General features: G+C 49.1%; 1 protein-coding gene across 9 annotated transcripts in view, besides 1 other annotated feature; it reads right to left on the bottom strand.

Moving 5' to 3' along the window:
- Window positions 1-13,680, bottom strand: part of FBLN7 (fibulin 7) — a 106,324-nt gene extending 92,644 nt beyond the window's left edge. For all 9 annotated transcript variants that reach the window (XR_007069507.1, XR_007069508.1, XM_006712260.3 and 6 more), the window contains exon 1: window positions 13,335-13,680. Coding sequence is in view for 7 of the 9 variants with exons in the window: in XM_006712260.3 (XP_006712323.1) it covers window positions 13,335-13,409 (75 nt within the window). In the remaining 2 variants the exon portion in view is untranslated. The remainder of the gene's footprint in view (window positions 1-13,334) is intronic.
- Window positions 11,150-11,863: an enhancer, noted in NCBI's record as "H3K4me1 hESC enhancer chr2:112897779-112898492 (GRCh37/hg19 assembly coordinates)". NCBI's record gives its function as "activates a minimal SCP1, AML or CMV promoter by ChIP-STARR-seq in naive H9 embryonic stem cells {active_cell/tissue: H9 hESC(naive)}" and the evidence as "EXISTENCE:reporter gene assay evidence [ECO:0000049][PMID:30033119]".
- Window positions 13,681-19,804: the final 6,124 nt, after the last annotated feature.

Raw genomic sequence — 19,804 nt, 5'->3', positions numbered from 1 at the left:
CACTAGATGCCCATTTGAATGAACAAACGAGTGAACGAGTGAATGAGGAGTGAAGGAATGGCGTCAGTATGAGCCAAAGACAATCTCTTGCTCATCTTACCACCAAACTCACTTTCCCCATTTCACCTGCTTGCTGCCCAGCTAACCTTTGTCCAGAGGCCATCTGCACCTGTGGATTGGGTTGTGCCTTTCACAGCCTCGGTATTATCTTCAGCAAGTCTCTGAGGTCCCCAATGCCCAAGCCAAGCAAGGAGCTTGGGGTCCACACACATGGCATCCAGCAGCTGCAATCCCCTCCTAGGTACACAAGCCGGGTATATGAGCCTTCTCCTCACATCTCACAACCTGAGAGCCTCCTACCAGCAAAAATGGCAGCACATTTTGTCTATTTCCTTTTGGGATTTAACACAATATGAATATAGAAGGGAGAGAAAGTTTAGTAGATAAAAAGGAATCAAAGAAGGCAGCAATGAAAAACTAATACATTCTGTCAGCTCCATGGTGAGGAGTTTCCCTTTATTCTCAGCGGCGAGGAGACTTGTGGGATGTAGGCAGGGGCGTGATGCAGCCTGGCCTCTGACCTCTGTCTTTGGGAAATACAGATTTTACGAAAGCAAGTGAGGATGCAGGGAGGGGAGATGTGACAGGACTGCCGTGGTACAGGAGAGGATAATTTCTGTTGCACCACTGCCAACCCACTCAGAAACACTTGGGATTTTCCCCTAGAGAGAGTAGGAAAATCAGAAAACACACCCCACTTTTTATTTAGCCATCATCACCATTCATGTTAGTTATTCCAAGAATAAAGACTCCAAGACCCCGGACCCTGACAATGTACTCAGGCACACCGCCATCATTTGACCCTTCCCTTCCCGTTTGCCCACGGAATCCAGCGGAATCCGTTCTGCCAGTGGAATCCAGGCCCTCTTACCATGAACCTCCCCAGGCTACACCCACCTTGGGGCCTTTGCACCGGCTGGGCCCTCTGCCTGGAGAATCTGCCCCCAGGTCCTCTAGAGTGGAGTCCTCTAGAGTTGTCTTTCCACTTCGACTTAGAAGTCCCCTCCTTAGAGAGTTCCCTACCTGCTTGCTTAACCTGGAGTAGCTCGTGGCCACCCTCCAATGCAGCACCCCGCTTAGGCAATCGTTGGCCCTCTGATACTTTTCTAATTTGTCTGGTTTTTCTCTTCCTGCTTGGTGAGCTAAGTGGCAGTGGGGACTGTGTCAGCTGCATCTTTCTCTCTCCTGTCACGTATTTAGCATTTGTTATGGACCTGGTCTTTGAATATTATTCATTTTCTTCAACTATGACCCCATGAGATGGGAATGTCTATTATCTCCACTGTTCAGAGGAAGAAACTGATTCACAAGGGGCAGGAACTTGCCCCAGATCAGTCAACCAGGAAGGATCCGAGCCAAGATCAAGCCAGGCCTGGGAGTCTTCACCACGTGCTACGCTGCCTCAGGCCTCCCAGAACAGCATTTTTCCTGTGCTAGCCTCTCAGGACATAGTTGTGGAATGAGCACATTATCTTACTAGTTAGATTCTTTTTGTCATGCAATCAGAGAAAAGGCCTAAATTGCAGGAGGACTGAGGTGATACTGACCCGTTCAGGAGATACTAACATGTTTGTATGTTTTTACACTACAGTCTGATGCTTCTCTGGATGCATTTTTTTTTTCTTCTGGTACAGCAGAGACCCCTGTCTTGGAGCTCAGTGGTCCTCTGTTTTTGTTCAAATCAGCCCGGGAGTCATCTGATGCTCTCAGCTCCCCAGGGGCAGTTGAGGCTTTCTGGACAATGCAACCAGTTGCTGGTCTTGCTCTCTGACCCCAGCCCCTCCTTCAGAGATGGGGTGAGCATGGGAAAGGGCTGCTCCAGAGCTCATAACCCCCTCCCCTTCCATCTAAGGTCCAGAGGGAACTAATCTCCAGCAGACGGGGAAACGTCTCAGATAGTGGCCAACCAGATGGCAAGAACGGGGCCAAGGGTGGCTCGGGGACTTTCCAGTTCCCTCCCAGTCACCACCAATATCCCCCATGCCTCTGGTCTTTGATGTGAACAACTGTCATGTCTCAATCTTAGTACTTAGGCACCCAGCCCCACGCTGAGTTCCTTGGGTCTCACTTCCCATCGAGGCTGCCTCCTTTGAGAGATTCTGGTGTCCAGAGAGGAACACATTTTCCTATATACAGGAGGAGAGATGATTACTTCCTTGAGATACACATTTTACTTACTTGAGTTACAAATTGTACTTGAGACTTGTGCAAATGGATGGGTTTGGGTCCAGTCAAATTATGGGTGCTTATTTTTTCTTTAACAAAAATGTGTGTCGTGTCCTTATTTTAGGTTTCAGGCAGTTACTGAAGAGCATGGAAAGTCCTGGCAGGGAGTTTGAAAGGATAAAGAAAGTTCAACCCACCCTGGGAGTCTTCTCTGGAGCCCCAGGGCTGCACAAACCCTTGCCCCTATGGGTCAGGGGAGAGTGGCCAGCACAGTCAGGCCTTTGTCAACAGCTGTGCCCAAACAATGGACCCTGATCCTGGCACCGCTGGCTGAGAGGCAGGTCTGAGCCAGCATATGGAGGGAGGGCTGGTACCCAAAGGGAAGGGGAGCAGCTTCAAAGGCATCTGGCTCGATCTGCCTGCAATCAAGTCTAGTGCCAAATAGGATTCCCCAGGGTGAGCAGACCTGGGAGGACATCCGTTCCTGATTGAAAGACTCCAGGCTAGCCCAAGAAACCACTGAACTGGCTGGCCACGTCTCCTTTCCCAGCGGGCCATGGTGTGGATCAGGCCCTTTACACTCACTGCCCAATGCCCCCAGGGCCAGAAATGACCCCAAGGGAGCAAGGGGACTTCCATTCTCCTCTGCAATCAGGGCTGCCCTTGACAGGATGTAGATCTCATTCTTGAATGTGCCAGGGAGAAGTGGAGGCTGCTAGAGAAAGCAGAAGATGCCAGGAGAACCTCCCCATCACCACCCTGCCCTGATTCCACCCATTTGTCTAAACACAGGTGCCTGTGGGAGTAAGTCTTTGCGTCACTATGATGGAGGATTTGCAAAAATCACCCCAGGTCTTCCTCCCTGTGCCAACGCCATATGCAAGGAGACTCTGCTCTCTTTTCATCAAAAAGGAAGTCTGTTTTCCCACCTTTCATATCTGGGCTGGACTTGTGGCTTGCTTTGGCCAACAGGATGCAGTGGAAGTCATGCTCCAGTTCCAAGCCTGGGTCTCAAGAAGTCTGTGAGCTTCTGCTCAGTCTTGGTGCTCTACAACCACCATCACCACCACCACAACCACCATGAGAAAAGCCCCAGCTAGCCTCCTGGAGGATGAGAGGCCTCACGGAGCAGAGCCTGCATGCACCAGATGAACTGCCCTAGACCAACCAGCCCCAGCTAGCTTGGCAGCTGACTACAGACAAACGAGCAAGGCCAGTCCAGATGAGCTGAGTCTGGCCCTGACTAGCACAGCAGACCAGCTGAGCTTGGCTCAAATTGCTACCCTGGCCTGCCAACTTCAGATCCAGAGCTTCTCTCTTAAAATCAAAGCAAGATCACTGTCTGTTTTGTTCCCAGTGCCTGGGCCATTGTAGGCACCAAATATCTGTTTTATGAAATACCTCATTTTAGATAGCGGTATTTATCTCAGATCAATAGATCTGAATGATTCACAAGCCCCTGCTGTTTCAGCTCATCTTCATGCATTAGTATTAAAATCTCTACTTCAGGGTTAGTGAACACTCCTGGTGCTAGGATGAGGGCAGATACCCCTGTCAATCATGGTGTCCTTTCATGCCAAGCTCTAGAGTGACTGAGGAGCCATCTCAACCTGGACTCTAGGCAGTCCCAGGCAATCAATCCGAATCGGCAGCTAAATTGACACTGATGGGCTGACTTCCCAGGCCATACTAGGCCGGAAAGGAGCAAGCTTTTGTTTTCATTTTTCCACCCTTCAGCTCATTTTTTTTTTCTCAGACCAAGAAATAAGTCTCAAGTCCTGCTCCAGCGCGAGGTCTTGATTTTCGCTGGGAAGTCAGTGGGGAGGAGAGCTGGCGGGCAGTGAGTCGGAGAGAGCGCGGGTCAGCTTTCCTCCTCTCACTTCCTCCTCTGGCCTTGCTCCCAACTGTAGGATTCAGCCACCACTCTTTTTGGCCACAGCAGACCCCCCACCTACGACCCGGGATCATGATGCTACTGTTGGCTGCTTAAAAGTTTCCGTGTAGAAAAAGTGTGATATCTACTGTAGGCAAGTGATTTGACAAGTCCAGCAATAATGAGTTAAAAATCATTTTCCTAAGGATGGGTTCAAAAAAATAAGGGAGTAAGCCAAAGAAAGAGGAAGACATGTGATCTCGAAAATGTAGACTCCAGCTCAGGATAGCAGAGAGACTCTCTCCCAAAGCCCCTGTGTAGCCGCAGGGCCACGAGCCCAGGGAGGGCAGCAGCAAGGCGGGAGCCAAATGCAGAGAGGCCGGGGGAGTCTGGGCTCCAGGGACAAGCAGCCCTGGCAGAACACTGACTGGGAAGGAGATCCTGGAAACAATTGTGCTTGTGTAGACGGCAGACTGAGGCAAAAGGGAATAAACTCTAGGAAAATTAAAAAGTTACACAAGAAAGGAAATTAATCATAGGGGACTACTTGGCTCTGTAGTGGATTATGGAACAAAGCACTTATCTGTCATTATAGGAGATCAATTGTGTAGAAATGCGGAGTGGTCCCCAGAGTATTTAGAAGTAGGTGCCTCAAGAGAGAGGTGCTATGGACCAATTTCTTGAAAGATACAAACTACCAAAACTCACCCCAGGGAAGAAAAATTGCCAACCTAAATAGCTCTGTATCTAAGAAATTGAATTCATAGTTAAAACTTTCCAGAAGTCTCCAGGCCCACATGGTTTCATTGGTAAATTCTACCAGACATTTCAGGAACTGGCACCAATTCTACACCATCTCTTCCAGAAGACAGAAAATCCACCTTATTAACAGACTAAAGAAAAAACACAGGACCATATCAAGTGAAGTAGAAAAAAAGCATGTGAAAAAATTCAATGTCCATTCATAATAAGTATTGTATCAAACTAGGACAAGAAGGAAATCTTAGCCAGACAAATAACACCTACAAAAAACCTACAGCCAGAACCATACTCAATGTTGAAAAAACGAATCCTTTCTTCCTAAGTTCTAGAACAAGGCAAGAATGTTCGCTCTCCTGTTAAAAACTGTACTTGAAATTTTAGTCCATGTAATAAGGCTAAATACATAAATAAATGACACATACATTAAAAAGGAAGAAGTAAAACTGCTCTAATACATAGATGACATGATTGTCCATGTAAAAAAACCCCTGGAAATGTATTTTTTAAAATTCCCTATAAATAATGATCGAGTTCCACAGGGTCACAAGATACAAGGTCAACGCAGAAAAGCCCATTGGATTTCTCCATACTAGGGATATCCACTTGGAAATGAATTTAAAAAAAAAAAAAAAAAAGCTTCAAAAATGAAATAATTAGGTATAAGTCTAACACACAGCATGTTTGTGTTGAAAACTAAAAATATATATATACTGATGAAAGAAACCAAAGAATATCTAAATAAGTAGAAAGACATTTTGTGTTCACAGATTGGAAGACTCAGTACATTTAAGATGCCAATTCTCCTCTAATTGATCTATAGATTTAATGCAATCCCAATACAAATTCCAGTAGTTTCTGGTTGCTGTTGTTGTTTTTGAGACAGAGTTTTGCTCTTGTTGCCCAGGCTGGAGTGCCATGGTGTGATCTCAGCTTGTGGCTCACTGCAATCTCTGCCTCCCGGGTTCAAGCAATTCTCCTGCCTCAGCCTCCTGAGTAGCTGGGATTACAGGCATGTGCCACCACGCCTGGTTAATTATGCATTTTTAGTACAGACGGGGTTTCACCATGTTTGCCAGGCTGGTCTCGGACTCCTGACCTCAGGTGGTCTGCCCACCTTGCCCTCCCAAAGTGCTGGGATTACAGGCGTGAGCCACAGTGCCCGGCCCAGTAGAATTTCTTATAGGCATAGACAACTGATTCTGAAATGTTAATGAAAAGGCAAAGAAACTAGAATAGCCAAAGGGATTTTGAAAAGGAATAATAAAGTTGGAGGACCCACTTTACTCAATTTTAACACTTACTGTAAAGCTACGGTAATCAAGATAAGTGTGTTATTGGCAGAAATTTCTCCATACATGTATGATGAACGATTTTTGACAAAGTTGCTAAGGCAAGTGTGTGAATCAGCAGTCTTTCAACAACAAATGGTATTGGAACAATTGGATATCCACATGAAAAATTGGCCCTCAAGATGAATCTCACACCTCATTTTTAAAAAGTAACTCAACATGGGTCATAATAAAAATGTAAAACTATAAAAATTTTAGAAGAAAATTTTCATGACCTGAGGTTAGGCCAAGAGTGCTTAGACTTGACACCCAAAACACAATCCATTAAAATAAAAAATTGATAAACTAAAGTTCATTAAAATTTAAAATTTTGATCTGCAAAAGTCATTGTTAAGCTACAAACTGAGAGAAAATATTTATAACTCACATATCCAAAAAAGGCTTTGTATTTAGAATATATAAAGAGCGCTCAAAATTTATTAAAAACAATCAGGATTTGCCTGTAATCCCAAATACTCCAGAGGCTGAGGCAGGAGGGTCACTCGAGCCCAGTAATTCCATGGCTGGCCTGGGCAACATAGAAAGACCCCATCTCAAAAAAATAAAAAGAAAGAAAAAGAAACAAACAATCAATTTTTTAAATGGGCAGAAGGCTCGAACAGACGTTTTGCCCAATAGACTATTTGGCAAATAATCACATGAAGAGATGTCCAATGTCATTAGTCATTAGGGAAATGGAAATTAAAACCGCAATGAGATACCACTGCATGCTTACTAGAATGACTTGGAGAAAAACAAATCAACCCGAGAACTCTAAGTTCTGGTAAGGATGCAGTGTAGTGAGGTCTTTCATAAATGTAAAGCGGTAAAACTAATACAGAATATAGTTGGGCAGTTTCTTACGAAGTTAAACACACATTTACCATATGACCCAACAATCCCACTCCCAGGTATTTGCCCATAAGAAATGAAAATACATTCACATGAAAAGCATATTTTGAATGCTTATACCAGCTGTATTCACAATTGCCCAAAACTGGAATGACACCACGGTGGTTGTTGTTCAGTGGGTGAACCGATAAACAGTAGAGGCCAGGCACGGTGGCTCACGCCTGTAATCCCAACACTTTGGGAGGCCGAGGCGGGTGGATCACAAGGTCAAGAGATAGAGACCATCCTGGCTAACAAGGTGAAACCCCGTCTCTACTAAAAATACAAAAATTAGCTGGGCGTGGTGGCGGGAGCCTGTAATCCCAGCTACTCACGGAAGGCTGAGGCAGGAGAATCGCTTGAACCCGGGAGGCGGAGGTGGCAGTGAGCCAAGATCACGCCACTGCACTCCAGCCTGAGTGACAGAGCAAGACTCCGTCTCAAAAAAAAAAAAAAAAAAAGAAAAGAAAACAAAAACAAAAACAAAAGCAAAAACAAAAAGGAACCTGTAGCTTGGGTGATTCTTAGATGCATTATACGAAGTTAATTTTCTTATTTAGAATCAAAAAAGTGCAGCTTGCTGCCAGTGCTCATTTAATTTTACAGAAACATGCTTTTTGAAGCTGAAGCAAATCTGAATGATTTTCAATGTGAAAATAAAATATAAAAACTGTTCTTGTAGTTATTTCAAAGCAGAACTAACATCAGAATTGTCTGAATCATTAAAATCGTCTATTTGGGAAAAATCGGATGCATCAATTGAATCTTCGGCCAACAACTGTTCCAGAGCGATGTTAATATCACGCGTAGGAGAGCTATATTTCTAGGATTTGACATTTTCAGCGATCAAGAATTACTATATTTTGTAAATGGAAATACCACTACTAAGAACAGAATGCTATAAATAGAATGATGTCTGTTATTTCCAAAGTTGATATACTAAGCAATGTGAAAATAATAAAAGATATTTTGTGACAAAGTTATCTCGGGGTAAATGCTGCAGCCACAAGCACTGCCCAACACATATTCTCAGAGCAAATGAGATTAAAGAAACTAAACCCAAAAGGCCATGTACTCTTTTCCATTTATATGACATTGTGGAGGCCGGGTGCAGTGACTCACAGCTATAATCCCAGCACTTTACGAGGCTGAGATGGGAGGATTGCTTGAGCCCAGGAGTTCGAGACCAGCCTAGGCAACATGGCAAAACCCTGTCTCTAAAACAAAATAAAATAAAAAATTGTATGACATGATGGAGAAGACAAAATTGTAACGATAAAGAATAGATAAGGGCTGCCAAGGCTGGGGTGGGTAGTAGGTGTGACTTCAAAGAGCAGCATGATGTAGTTTTGGGGGCGGTGGAACTGTTCTGTACCCTGATTGTGGTGGTGGTTGCCACACATAGAATATAGTTCCATGGTTAAAATCATGAAATTATACATGAACAACATTTATTTTTATTTAATTATAAAAAGCAATGTATCAAATGGGAGGAGGCAACTAAAAGAATGAACCTCTCATGGTGGAATTTGGAGACCTGTGACATCTGATCACAGGGAGAGGGTCAGGGAGGGAAGCCTGCTTAAACACCATAGCAGCTCCCCACACAGGCGAGGAGGTGGCCGGGAGCCCGCATCCCCTGCCCGCCCAGAGCCACTGTGGGCTGAAGGTGAAGTGCGAGATGATGGTTAGATATTTGTTCTGATCTCCCCAATGAGGTGTTTCTCTTCCAGTGGGAAGGCCACAGGGTGGGCACAGTGTCCAGAAAGGGCTCCTGCTCTCTGCACACCCCATACTTCTCAGCCTCCCTTCCTTCCCCATGACCACCTGCTCTTCATCAGCCAGTGACAAAAACCTGCAAAGTGACTTGGGACAGATGCGCTGACAAGAGGGACACAGTGGATAGCCACAGAGGAGAGCAGGAGAGAGATGAGACTCCATCCCCGCAGGACCACTGCTCTGGACCCTGCAGCACACAGCCTCCCCTCCCCTGTAACACATACACAATCACAGAGACACAATCACCAACACACAAAGACATGTGCATACCCAATCACACACACAGCACAGATATGCACACACACATACACTTACCATCACACATACAATCACTCACGCAGACAGATGCACACACAACCACAGGTACCAATGCAAAAAAGGTGTGTACACACAACCACACACAGAGACACATACATCTATTGACACACACACACACAAACACACACATACGCTCATGATATTACTCTTGCGCTGTCTCCTAAAACGCAAAGCAAGCACATTTGCCAGCAAACGGGAACCCCAGACAGGGTTGTGGCCCACCCCCATGAGGAGCACCGCAGTCTCCATCTAGAGCTCCTTGGAGTTGCTGTGTCAATGGGCCTTGGTCGAGGAAGCCTGTCCTCAGTGCCTCCCACCTGACCCATCTCATCTCCTCCATGGCAAGATATGATCCTGTGGGCACAGCTCATTCTCCAAACTTGCTGAGTCTCCACCAACCAATGGCTCTTACTGGTGGGTTCAGGAGTCCCAGGGCTCACACTGCTTTAAGGCCAGGTGGGTCCCTGCCCCTGGAGCCCTATAGTGGGAATACAGACAATAAACTTGAAACCTACCAAAATATATCATTACAAATGATGATCGGTACTACGCCAGAGCCCTTCAGGGGACCCAAACAGGAAATACAGGGGCAGAGAGAGGACTTGTTTAGAGTAGAGAGAGTTCTGGAAGGCCTCTGCAGAGGATTACTTATTTGAGCAGAGACCCAAAACGTGGAAGGAGTCAGGTAATGCTTGTTCCAGCATGCACCAGGCCCTGGGGCCTCCTTTACAATTCACCCTTTACGCTTGCCCGGACAGGGTTGAGGGTGGAGAAGGGGAGACCCCTGGCCACATAGGACTGTGGGTGAAAGAGAGTCTCACTAGAATTTTTAAATGACCATCTATGGGCAATCTCTTTTGTTCCCTTTCCCCTCACAAAGCACCTAAGACAGGTGTTTTGCAGCTCAAGACAGTAAGGTTTAGAGGATAAGAAACTTGAGAAAGACTGGATGTGGCGGGACAGGGATTGGACCCAGAAGTTCCGGGTACAGAGTCTGGGTGAGCTCACTTTGCCTCTGCAGCAGCTGCAAACATATGACAAGTGCTTCGGTCTCACCTGGTTTCTAGGTAACCTCAGGAGACAGGTGTTTACCTCATTCCCCGAGCAGCAAAAGTCACACAATGGCAGGGCCTGGTTCTCACGCATCTCATCACACATCCTGTCCACGCTGCCTCCTTGGAGCCTAGGCTGGGGAGCCGCCTTAGGGATGTACCCACCTATGCTTCTGGCATTGGGCTCAAGGTCTGAGGTGGGGTTTTACTTTGTTCTGTAACCTGCAAAGTTGATAGGAGACCCCATTGCTCTGTTGGGTGGGTTTAGCGTGGCCCCAAACTGGGCCTCTGCTGCCTGGTCACTGAGTATCTCCCTGTGGTGCCCCCTCACTACCTTCTGCACTAACATCACCACGTCTCGTCTGAGCCAAATTCTGCCTGCCTGGAATCCCTTCCTGCACCGTAGGGGCCTCTAGGTGGCCATGGGCATGCCTGCCTGGCCCAGGAAGTCAGTCTCTGGCCAGGGAGTATGGGCAAGTGTCTGCAGGCAAGGAAGAAATCTTGGAGCCCAACAAGAGAGACTGGGTTTATTCCGCTCATTTCTGGTTGTGTGACCTTGAATACATCTCATCCTCCCTGGGCCTCACTTTCATCATCTGCAAAATGGGGGTAACAGTCCCCACTTCACAGGGTAGCTCCGGGAATGAAGTGACTGGAAGATGCCCTGCAGGGAGCCTGAGGCGCACCAGGCACTCCGTGTGCAGGCTCTCCGCTGCCCACCGCTGTTGGTATTGTGCAGGTAGCGGGGTCGGCAGTCCATGGCCGGGCCCCTCACCCTGGCTTGCCAGGGCTACTCTGCTGGATGTGGGTCCCGGACTCGGCAATTCAAGTTCTCGCCTTAATTTTAAAAATCAGTTGCTAATGGTTAACATAAAAGCGAATCTGGTCAAGTATTAAACAAATAAATCCGGTGAGATTCGAACAAATGCCAACGGCAAGAACAGAAAAATTAAACAGCAAGCCGCCTGTATATGTGTTTAAGAAAATGTAGTCGCACATCCAGGGCCTCGCCGGCTCGGGAAGGGACCGCTTCGGAAACCTCCCGGGCCACCTCTGCCTGGGAAATGCCACAAACTGCTGAGAAAGTCCCGTGAGTGTTCTGATACTTCGGTTGGAAATTTAAATGTCGGAGTTTGGAGGGCGGGGACGTTCTCTAAGCTAATTAGGTGACCTGGAGCTCTCATGGAGACCCAGGAAAGACCAATGTCTCATAGCTCCCTGAGAAATCTTCTTCCTCCCGGCGGTGCTCACGTGGAGTCCTCGCCCACAATGGACCGACGCTTTCGCAGCCCAGCCCGGGTCCTCCCAGGGGCCCGGCCAGCGATGCATCTGAGGTGACAGGTGGGGGACCCTGCACCTCTCTCTGAAAACTGAACCCCAGCCCAGGCATCGCTCCGAGCTCTCAACCCAGGCATCCGAGTGGAAAGTGGCAAGCCCGGGTCCCCCAGCCTTGGTGCTGCCTCCCCTGCGCGCGGGACAGGGGAGAGAGGAAGGAGGGATGCTGGCCTGGAGAGAGGCAGGAGGGACACTGACCTGGAGAGAGGCGGGAGGGACACTGACCTGGAGAGAGGCGGGAGGGACACTGGCGTGGAGAGAGGCGCGCGGGACAGGGGAGAGAGGCGGGAGGGACACTGGCCTGGAGAGAGGCGGGAGGGACGCTGGCCTGGAGAGAGGCGGGAGGGACACTGGCGTGGAGAGAGGCGGGAGGGACACTGGCGTGGAGAGAGGCGGGAGGGACGCTGGCGTGGAGAGAGGCGGGAGGGACGCTGGCGTGGAGAGAGGCGGGAGGGACGCTGGCCTGGAGAGAGGCGGGAGGGACGCTGACCTGGAGAGAGGCGGGAGGGACGCTGGCCTGGAGAGAGGCGGGAGGGACACTGGCGTGGAGAGAGGCGGGAGGGACACTGGCATGGAGAGAGGCGCGCGGGACAGGGGAGAGAGGCGGGAGGGACACTGGCCTGGAGAGAGGCGGGAGGGACACTGGCGTGGAGAGAGGCGGGAGGGACACTGGCCTGGAGAGAGGCGGGAGGGACACTGGCCTGGAGAGAGGCGGGAGGGACACTGGCGTGGAGAGAGGCGGGAGGGACACTGACCTGGAGAGAGGCGGGAGGGACACTGGCGTGGAGAGAGGCGGGAGGGACGCTGGCCTGGAGAGAGGCGGGAGGGACGCTGACCTGGAGAGAGGCGGGAGGGACGCTGGCCTGGAGAGAGGCGGGAGGGACACTAGCCTGGAGAGAGGCGGGAGGGACACTGGCGTGGAGAGAGGCGGGAGGGACGCTGGCCTGGAGAGAGGCGGGAGGGACGCTGACCTGGAGAGAGGCGGGAGGGACGCTGGCCTGGAGAGAGGCGGGAGGGACACTAGCCTGGAGAGAGGCGGGAGGGACACTGACCTGGAGAGAGGCGTGAGGGACACTGGCCTGGAGAGAGGCGGGAGGGACACTGGCCTGGAGAGAGGCGGGAGGGACACTGACCTGGAGAGAGGCGGGAGGGACACTGGCGTGGAGAGAGGCGGGAGGGACGCTGGCCTGGAGAGAGGCGGGAGGGACGCTGACCTGGAGAGAGGCGGGAGGGACGCTGGCCTGGAGAGAGGCGGGAGGGACACTGACCTGGAGAGAGGCGTGAAGGACACTGGCCTGGAGAGAGGCGGGAGGGACACTGGCCTGGAGAGAGGCGGGAGGGACACTGGCGTGGAGAGAGGCGGGAGGGACACTGGCTGGCCTGGAGAGAGGCGGGAGGGACACTGGCCTGGAGAGAGGCGGGAGGGACGCTGACCTGGAGAGAGGCGGGAGGGACGCTGGCCTGGAGAGAGGCGGGAGGGACGCTGACCTGGAGAGAGGCGGGAGGGACGCTGGCCTGGAGAGAGGCGGGAGGGACGCTGGCCTGGAGAGAGGCGGGAGGGACACTGGCGTGGAGAGAGGCGCGCGGGACAGGGGACAGAGGCGGGAGGGACACTGACCTGGAGAGAGGCGGGAGGGACAGGGGAGAGAGGCGGGAGGGACAGGGGAGAGAGGCGGGAGGGACGCTGGCCTGGAGAGAGGCGGGAGGGACACTGGCCTGGAGAGAGGCGGGAGGGACACTGGCCTGGAGAGAGGCGGGAGGGACACTGACCTGGGAAGCCCGCGGCTCGGGGCAGGCGAGGATCAGGAGCAGAAGGAAGAGCGCGCGCGGAGAGCTGGGCACCATCTTGCCAGTCGGAATCCCGCTGCCTGGGAGGGGAAATAACTTTGCCTCCGCTGCCGAGTTTGTCCCAGCGATGCGGCAGCCGTCCCTGCAGGGTGCGGGGCGCCGCGCGGCCGGGGGGCGGCTGGGGCAGGGGGGGAGGCGGGAGGCCCCGAGCGCAGCGCGTCCCGCGGGGATCGGCGCCGCCCGGGCCTTGCGAGGGTCCAGGTGCGCCCGCAGCTGCCCGCACGAGACAGTCCGCGCGAGGCGGGGAGGCGCCGGCCCCTGGGCTAAGGACGAGGGAGGAGGGGCTGCCCGGCCGGGAATGCGCCCGGGAGCGCGCCCAACCCGCGACGCCGAGGACGAGCGCGGGCATCCTCGGGGCCTGGCAGGGATGGGCGGCCAGTGCCCCGCATATGTGCGGGTGACTGGAAGCCCACCCTGGGCGGGTTCACTCCCGACCGTCCTATTTCCCAACCAAGTAGACTGAGGCTCAGTCACCAAGGACAAGTGGCAGAACAGAAACCCAAACCCAGGTCTGTCCTACTTCAAAGCCCACGCGACACCCTCCTCCCGACATTCCTAGAAGGGGGCCAGGAAATGGGCTTCATAAGCTTGACGTGGGGTGGACTGAGCTCTCCATCCGAATAAACTAGTGTCCCTTTAAATAATGCAATGGGGCCGTGAGAACACGCACGCACAGTGAGTAGATACACACACAGTGATACAGTGAGGGGATCTACGTCCTTCTGATTCACTGTCCTCCTTGCTCAAGGGAAGGAGAAACTCAGTTTAAATCGGAGGTCAGGTTCTAGAACATTGCCTGCCTTGCTGAAGTCGAATCAGGAAGTGCCAGGCCGGCATGAGCAGTCTGAAGTCCCCTGCCATCAGGGCTGTGGTACAACCAGATGCCTCAGACCTGAGCTCCCGGAAGGCATGACTGACGTTCTTCCTGGAAGGTTTTCTGAAGGCAGTCACTGCAGATGTCCTGGGACACACAAGTCTGGTCAAGCCCCAGATCTCTTTTTCCTCTTCCACATTTCACTTTGTTGAGCCCACTCAGAGCTCAGGGAACGGGGAGCCCACAAGACTGTGACCACAGAGCAGGAGCTGTTTCCCAGCAGAGGCCAGAAAGGAAAGCTGGAGTCCTGGCTTAGTCCCTTCAAACTGCTATAGCAAAATACCATAAACTGAGTGGCTTATAAACAATAGAACGTGTTTCTCACAGTTCTGGAGACTGGGAGGTCCAAGATCAAGGTGTCAATAGATTAGGTGTTTGGCGAGGGCCAGAGTTCTGGTTCCCGTGTCCTCACAGGGGAAAGGCAGCTCTCTGGGGCCTCTTTTCTGAGGGCACTAATCCCAATTTTGAGGGCTCTGCACTCATGACCTAGTCACCTCCCAAAGGTCCCACCTCCTAATGCCATCATCTTGGGAATGAGGTTTCCAACATATAAATTTAGGGGAGACACCAACATTCAGAACCTAGCCAGTGCCCCAAAAAGCAGGGGACATGGTTTAGGCTGGCCTCCTGGGCATTGGTTGCCCAGGAAATCCTACAGTGCTGCTCCCCCAACCTTCCCATGCAAAGGAGGTGGAACGGGACCCATGTAAATCTTTTTTTTCTTTGAGACGGCGTCTTGCTCTGTTGCCTAGGCTGGAGTGCAGTGGCCTGATCTCAGCTCACTGCAGCCTTGCCTCCCTGGTTCAAGTAATTCTCCTGCCTCAGCCTCCCAAGCAGCTGGGGCTACAGGCATGCACCACCACGCCTAGCTAATTTTTGTATTTTTAGTAGAGACAGGTTTTCACCATGTTGGCCAGGCTTGTCTTGAACTCCTGACCTCAAATGACCCACCCGCCTCAGCCTCCCAAAGTGCTGGGATTATAGGTGTGAGCCACTGCAGCCTGCAAGGGATCCATGTAATTTTATTTTGCATTCCTGGTTGAACATCCTGAAGAGAGACATGGTCATACCCCTGCTTCTCCCTATCCAGGTGGAGAGGACGGGACAGCATGGCCCGATCCAGGGCAGCCTGTGGAGATGGTGGTTTTCTGCCTCGATCTCTCATGTGTTTGCTGTCTGTACCAAAAGCCAGTGCCCTGCTCCCTCTCTGTCTCTCTGTCCTCTGCCCTATCCTTGAAAAGCTTCCTCCTGGTCAGTGTGGCTGCATTTATTAATATTTTGTGTCCTATCCCACCTTGTGTTTACATGGCGACCTTCTCTGGAAGGCCAGCTGTTCTGGCTCTCAGCCTTGTTCTGGCTATGCGCTGGTAACCAGACATCGGGCAGATGTAAGCAAGCCTTCTTTTCTCTTCTCCTGCCCTTTCTGTGGAGTCATAAAGCTGGAAGAGATTCTTGATTTCACAGATGAAGAAGCTGAATCGGGGCATGGTTGACTGACTTGCCCAAGGAATGCAAACTCTGGTCTCAAGATCCCCCTCCCAGAGCGGTGCTGTTTCTAGGACAGACTACCTTTGACTTTATCCCACCTCTCATTTTAGGGCTACTATGTTGCTTATATTAAATACATGATCATAGCATTTCAGGAATTTTATTTACAGTAATGGGGGGTTTTCTGTTTTTTTGTTGTTGTTGTTTTTTGTTTTCTTGGGTTTTTGCTTTTGTTTTTACTTTTCAAATATTTCTAAGTTTCAACAGGATTTTTTTTCCTATGTAATTATTTATATTTGTAACCCTTTCCCTATGGCTGCCTTCCCTCTAAGTGTTCTGGCATCTGGTCTGAATGAACCTTCTAAGATCTGACTGCCCCAGCAGCACTGTCCTTTCTCTGTCTTTGTCCTCAGCTGCCCTGGATCTGCAGTAATCAAGGCAGAGCCTATCAAGTCCAGAACCTACCAAGGCTGTCTACAAGCAGACAGCCCATGAAAATCAGCTGGGTGCTCTACCTTTAAGCCCCCAACCCTCACCTTTAACTGAATACAATGGGCCTATCAGCCTTTTTTTTTTTTTTTTTTGAGACAGTCTCACTCTATTGCCCAGGCTGGAGTGCAGTGGCATGATCTCAGCTCACTGTAACCTCTGCTGCCTCACAGAGGCAATCTATTCTCCTGCCTCAGCCTCTCAAGTAGCTGGGATTACAGGCACCTGCCACCATGCCCAGCTGATTTTTGTATTTTTAGTAGAGACGGGGTTTCACCATCTTGGCCAGGCTGGTCTTGAACTCCTGACCTCGTGATCCACCCGTCTCAGCCTCCCAAAGTGCTGGGATTACAGCCATGAGCCACCATGCCTGGCCCTTATCAGCTAGTTTATTCCTCTATTTCCCCTCTATTTAGTTTTCAAGAGAATATTCCTGAGTGTCGGGGGATTGGTTTGGTGGGGTTCAACATGTCTACAGAAAGTATTTTAAACATCTTTTGGTAAGATCAGTTGCCATCTCCTTGGATTAGTGCTCTGATACATTCAGGTTCTCTGTGTAACATAGGCATGCAACACAAAATGGGAAGATTTGTTGCAGAAATTTGTCTTTAAGACCCCAACAGAGGCCAGGTGCGGTGGTTCATGCCTGTAATCTCAGCACTTTGGGAGCTGAAACAGGCGGATCACTTGAGGTCAGGAGTTTGAGACCAGCCTGGCCAAGATGATGAAACCCTGTCTCTACTAAAAGTACAAAAATTAGCCGAGTGTGGTAGCAGGCACCTGTAATCCCAGCTACCTGGGAGGCTGAGGCAGGAGACTCACTTGAACATAGGAGGCGGAGGTTGCAATGACCTAAGATTGTGCCACTGCACTCTGGCCTGGGCAACAGAGTGAGACTCCATCTAAAAAAAAAAGAAAAAAAAAAGCTGGGTGTGGTGGCTCACACCTATAATCCCAGCATTTGGGAGGCTGAGGTGGGCGGATTGCGAGGTCAGGAGATCGAGACCATCCTAGCTATTATGGTGAAACCCCATCTGTACTAAAAATACAACAAATTAGCTGGGCATGGTGGTGGGCACCTGTAGTCCCAGCTACTCGGGAGGCTGAGGCAGGAGAATGGCATGAACCCGGGAGGCAGAGCTTGCAGTGAGCCAAGATTGCTACTGCACTCTAGCCTGGGCGACAGAGTGAGACTCTGTCTCAGAAAGACAAAAATAAATTAAATAAATAAACAGATGCTAGCAGAAGCAAGATCCAGTCTGAAATTATCCTTCCAGAGCTGTCCTGGGGGCTCCTCTGGGTCCCCAGTGGTGCCCCATACCATGTTGCATACCATTTTGGGTTCATGGACTTACTGATTCAGCTATGGCTGAGTCTTACTGTCAGCTCATTTGCAGCTGCTTCTCTCCCTTTTCATCCTTTACCCCACATTTCTCTGTGGTTCTAAATGTCATCAACCCCTACGAAGCACCTACAGAGGTCCCAGGAACAAAGTCCAGCATGTTAGCCTGACAGGATAATAGGGTAGAAACCGTGTAGGGAGAACGGTCTAGCAGAGGTGCAGTGACTTCATCCAATTCATTCACTACAAAAATATCTATCAAGTGCCAACTCCGGGCATGGCCCTGTACCAGGCACTACATTCTCACATTATATCTAGAGCTTTAGCCAACAGAACTGTGCAGTCCTGTGCTGAAAGGTGAAGAGACTGTCTACTTATGTATGATATCAGGACTGCCAGTAGAAACCGTTCCCCCTAGAAAAGCATTTCCAATTTTACAAGATGAAAGCCTGTAGAAAAGCAGATTTCACTGTGCTGTGATTAAAGACCAAACACCAGTTAACATCTGCCAAAAGGAGCAAGACATTGAACATCCACGAATGCCATTCCACATGCCTTTGGAAGCAGCAGAGATGGTGGATGCAGTCAGGCACACACAGCCTTTGAAGTCAGACGTGCCTCGGCCAAATCTTACCCCCTTCTTGCTGCCAGTGTGAACTTGTAACCTCTTAATCTTTACAGGCCTCAGCTTCTTGATTTATATATGAGAATACAAGTATTTATCAAAGAGATTATGAGATTTCAAAATAATAAAGTGCCTAACACAATGCTGAGCATAAAGTAAGTGCTCAGTTAAAGGGACATTGCTTATACTGATGGTCCTTCATACAGGGACAACATAAGAAGGAAACAAACATGTCTTGAGCACCTACTGTAAACCAGTCACAAATGCTCTCATTTGTTCTCATGACAACCCAGTGAAATGGGTCCCATTATTAATCTCATTTTACAGATTGTGAAACTGAGGCTTAGAATGCTTCAGTAGGTTGCCCAAGATCAAACTGAAATTGAGTAAATGCTAAGCAAAAAGAAAACCTGGATAAAAGGTGTAAGTGCTAATTTTGCAACTTTTAAGTCTAAAATTATCTTTAAATAAATGTGTGTATAATTTAATATTTTATTTCACCTTATGTCAGTTATACATTATAGTTTTCAAGGAATTCTTTAATTTTATCTAATTTGCCAAATGTAGTGGCATAAAATGGTATTATTCACTTATCTTTTTAATGGCTGTAGGATCTGTAGTGGTAGCCCTTCTTTTGTTCCTAATATTGATGATTTGTGCTCTTTCCCTTTCTTCTTAATTATTATAGCTAAACATTTATAAATTTTGTTTTTCTTCTCAAAGAGACAACTTTTTGCTTTGTTAATTTTCTCAAGTGTTTGTTTAAAATTTCATTGGTTTCTGCTCATATCTTTATTTGTTTCAATAGCACCTAGGATTTGTTTTAATCAGATGTGGTAAGATACATAGACATGAAAATAATTTCCATGAAGAAAGAAGTTTTTATTATACTCACAGTCTCCTAAGAACAAGAGGGATGGTATGTCATGCAGGATCACACAGGAAAATGCCCAGGTGAGATGAGCAGGCAGAGAGAGAGGAAAAGAGAGAAAGAGAGAGAGAGAGAGAGGAACTGTGGACAAGTGACTTTATTGTGGTTTTTGCAGGAAGGAACAATTGAAACAAGGTAAGCAAGCTAAGCAGGTTTAGGATTGGATAGTTTGAAGAGTTTGGATGGGCTCTAGGCTCTAGGGGTAGTCCCTAGTTGTCCAGCACCCAGCTTTGCGGTGTTTAGGGCAAAAGGATATCGTAGCAGATAAAAGGAAACAAGCAGGAGTATGAACTTGGGGTTATTTGGTTTGCATATAAAATGCATGCTCTAGAGCAAGTCATTTACTATCTTTCAGAATTTGCAAACTCCAGAGGAGCAGTCCTTTCAGGTCAGTAAGGCCCCAGATGCAAGAATATTGAAAATACAGAAAATAAGAAAATACAGCTTTATTATTATTTTATTGCTTTCTCTTTCTTTGGGTTTACTCACTCAGCTCTTTTTTTCCTAGATTATCAAAACTGAAATATAGGTAATTGACTTTATACCTTTCTTCTTTCCTAATATAAGTGCTTAAAGTTACAGCATTCCCTCTAAGTACTACTTTAGCTGCATACCATAAATTTTGATATATGGTGTTTTTATT

Source organism: Homo sapiens, chromosome 2 (assembly GCF_000001405.40).
Source record: "Homo sapiens chromosome 2, GRCh38.p14 Primary Assembly".
Classification (NCBI taxonomy): domain Eukaryota; kingdom Metazoa; phylum Chordata; class Mammalia; order Primates; family Hominidae; genus Homo; species Homo sapiens.
Note: the sequence above shows the minus strand (reverse complement) of the source record. Positions and strands in the feature narration are given on the sequence as shown.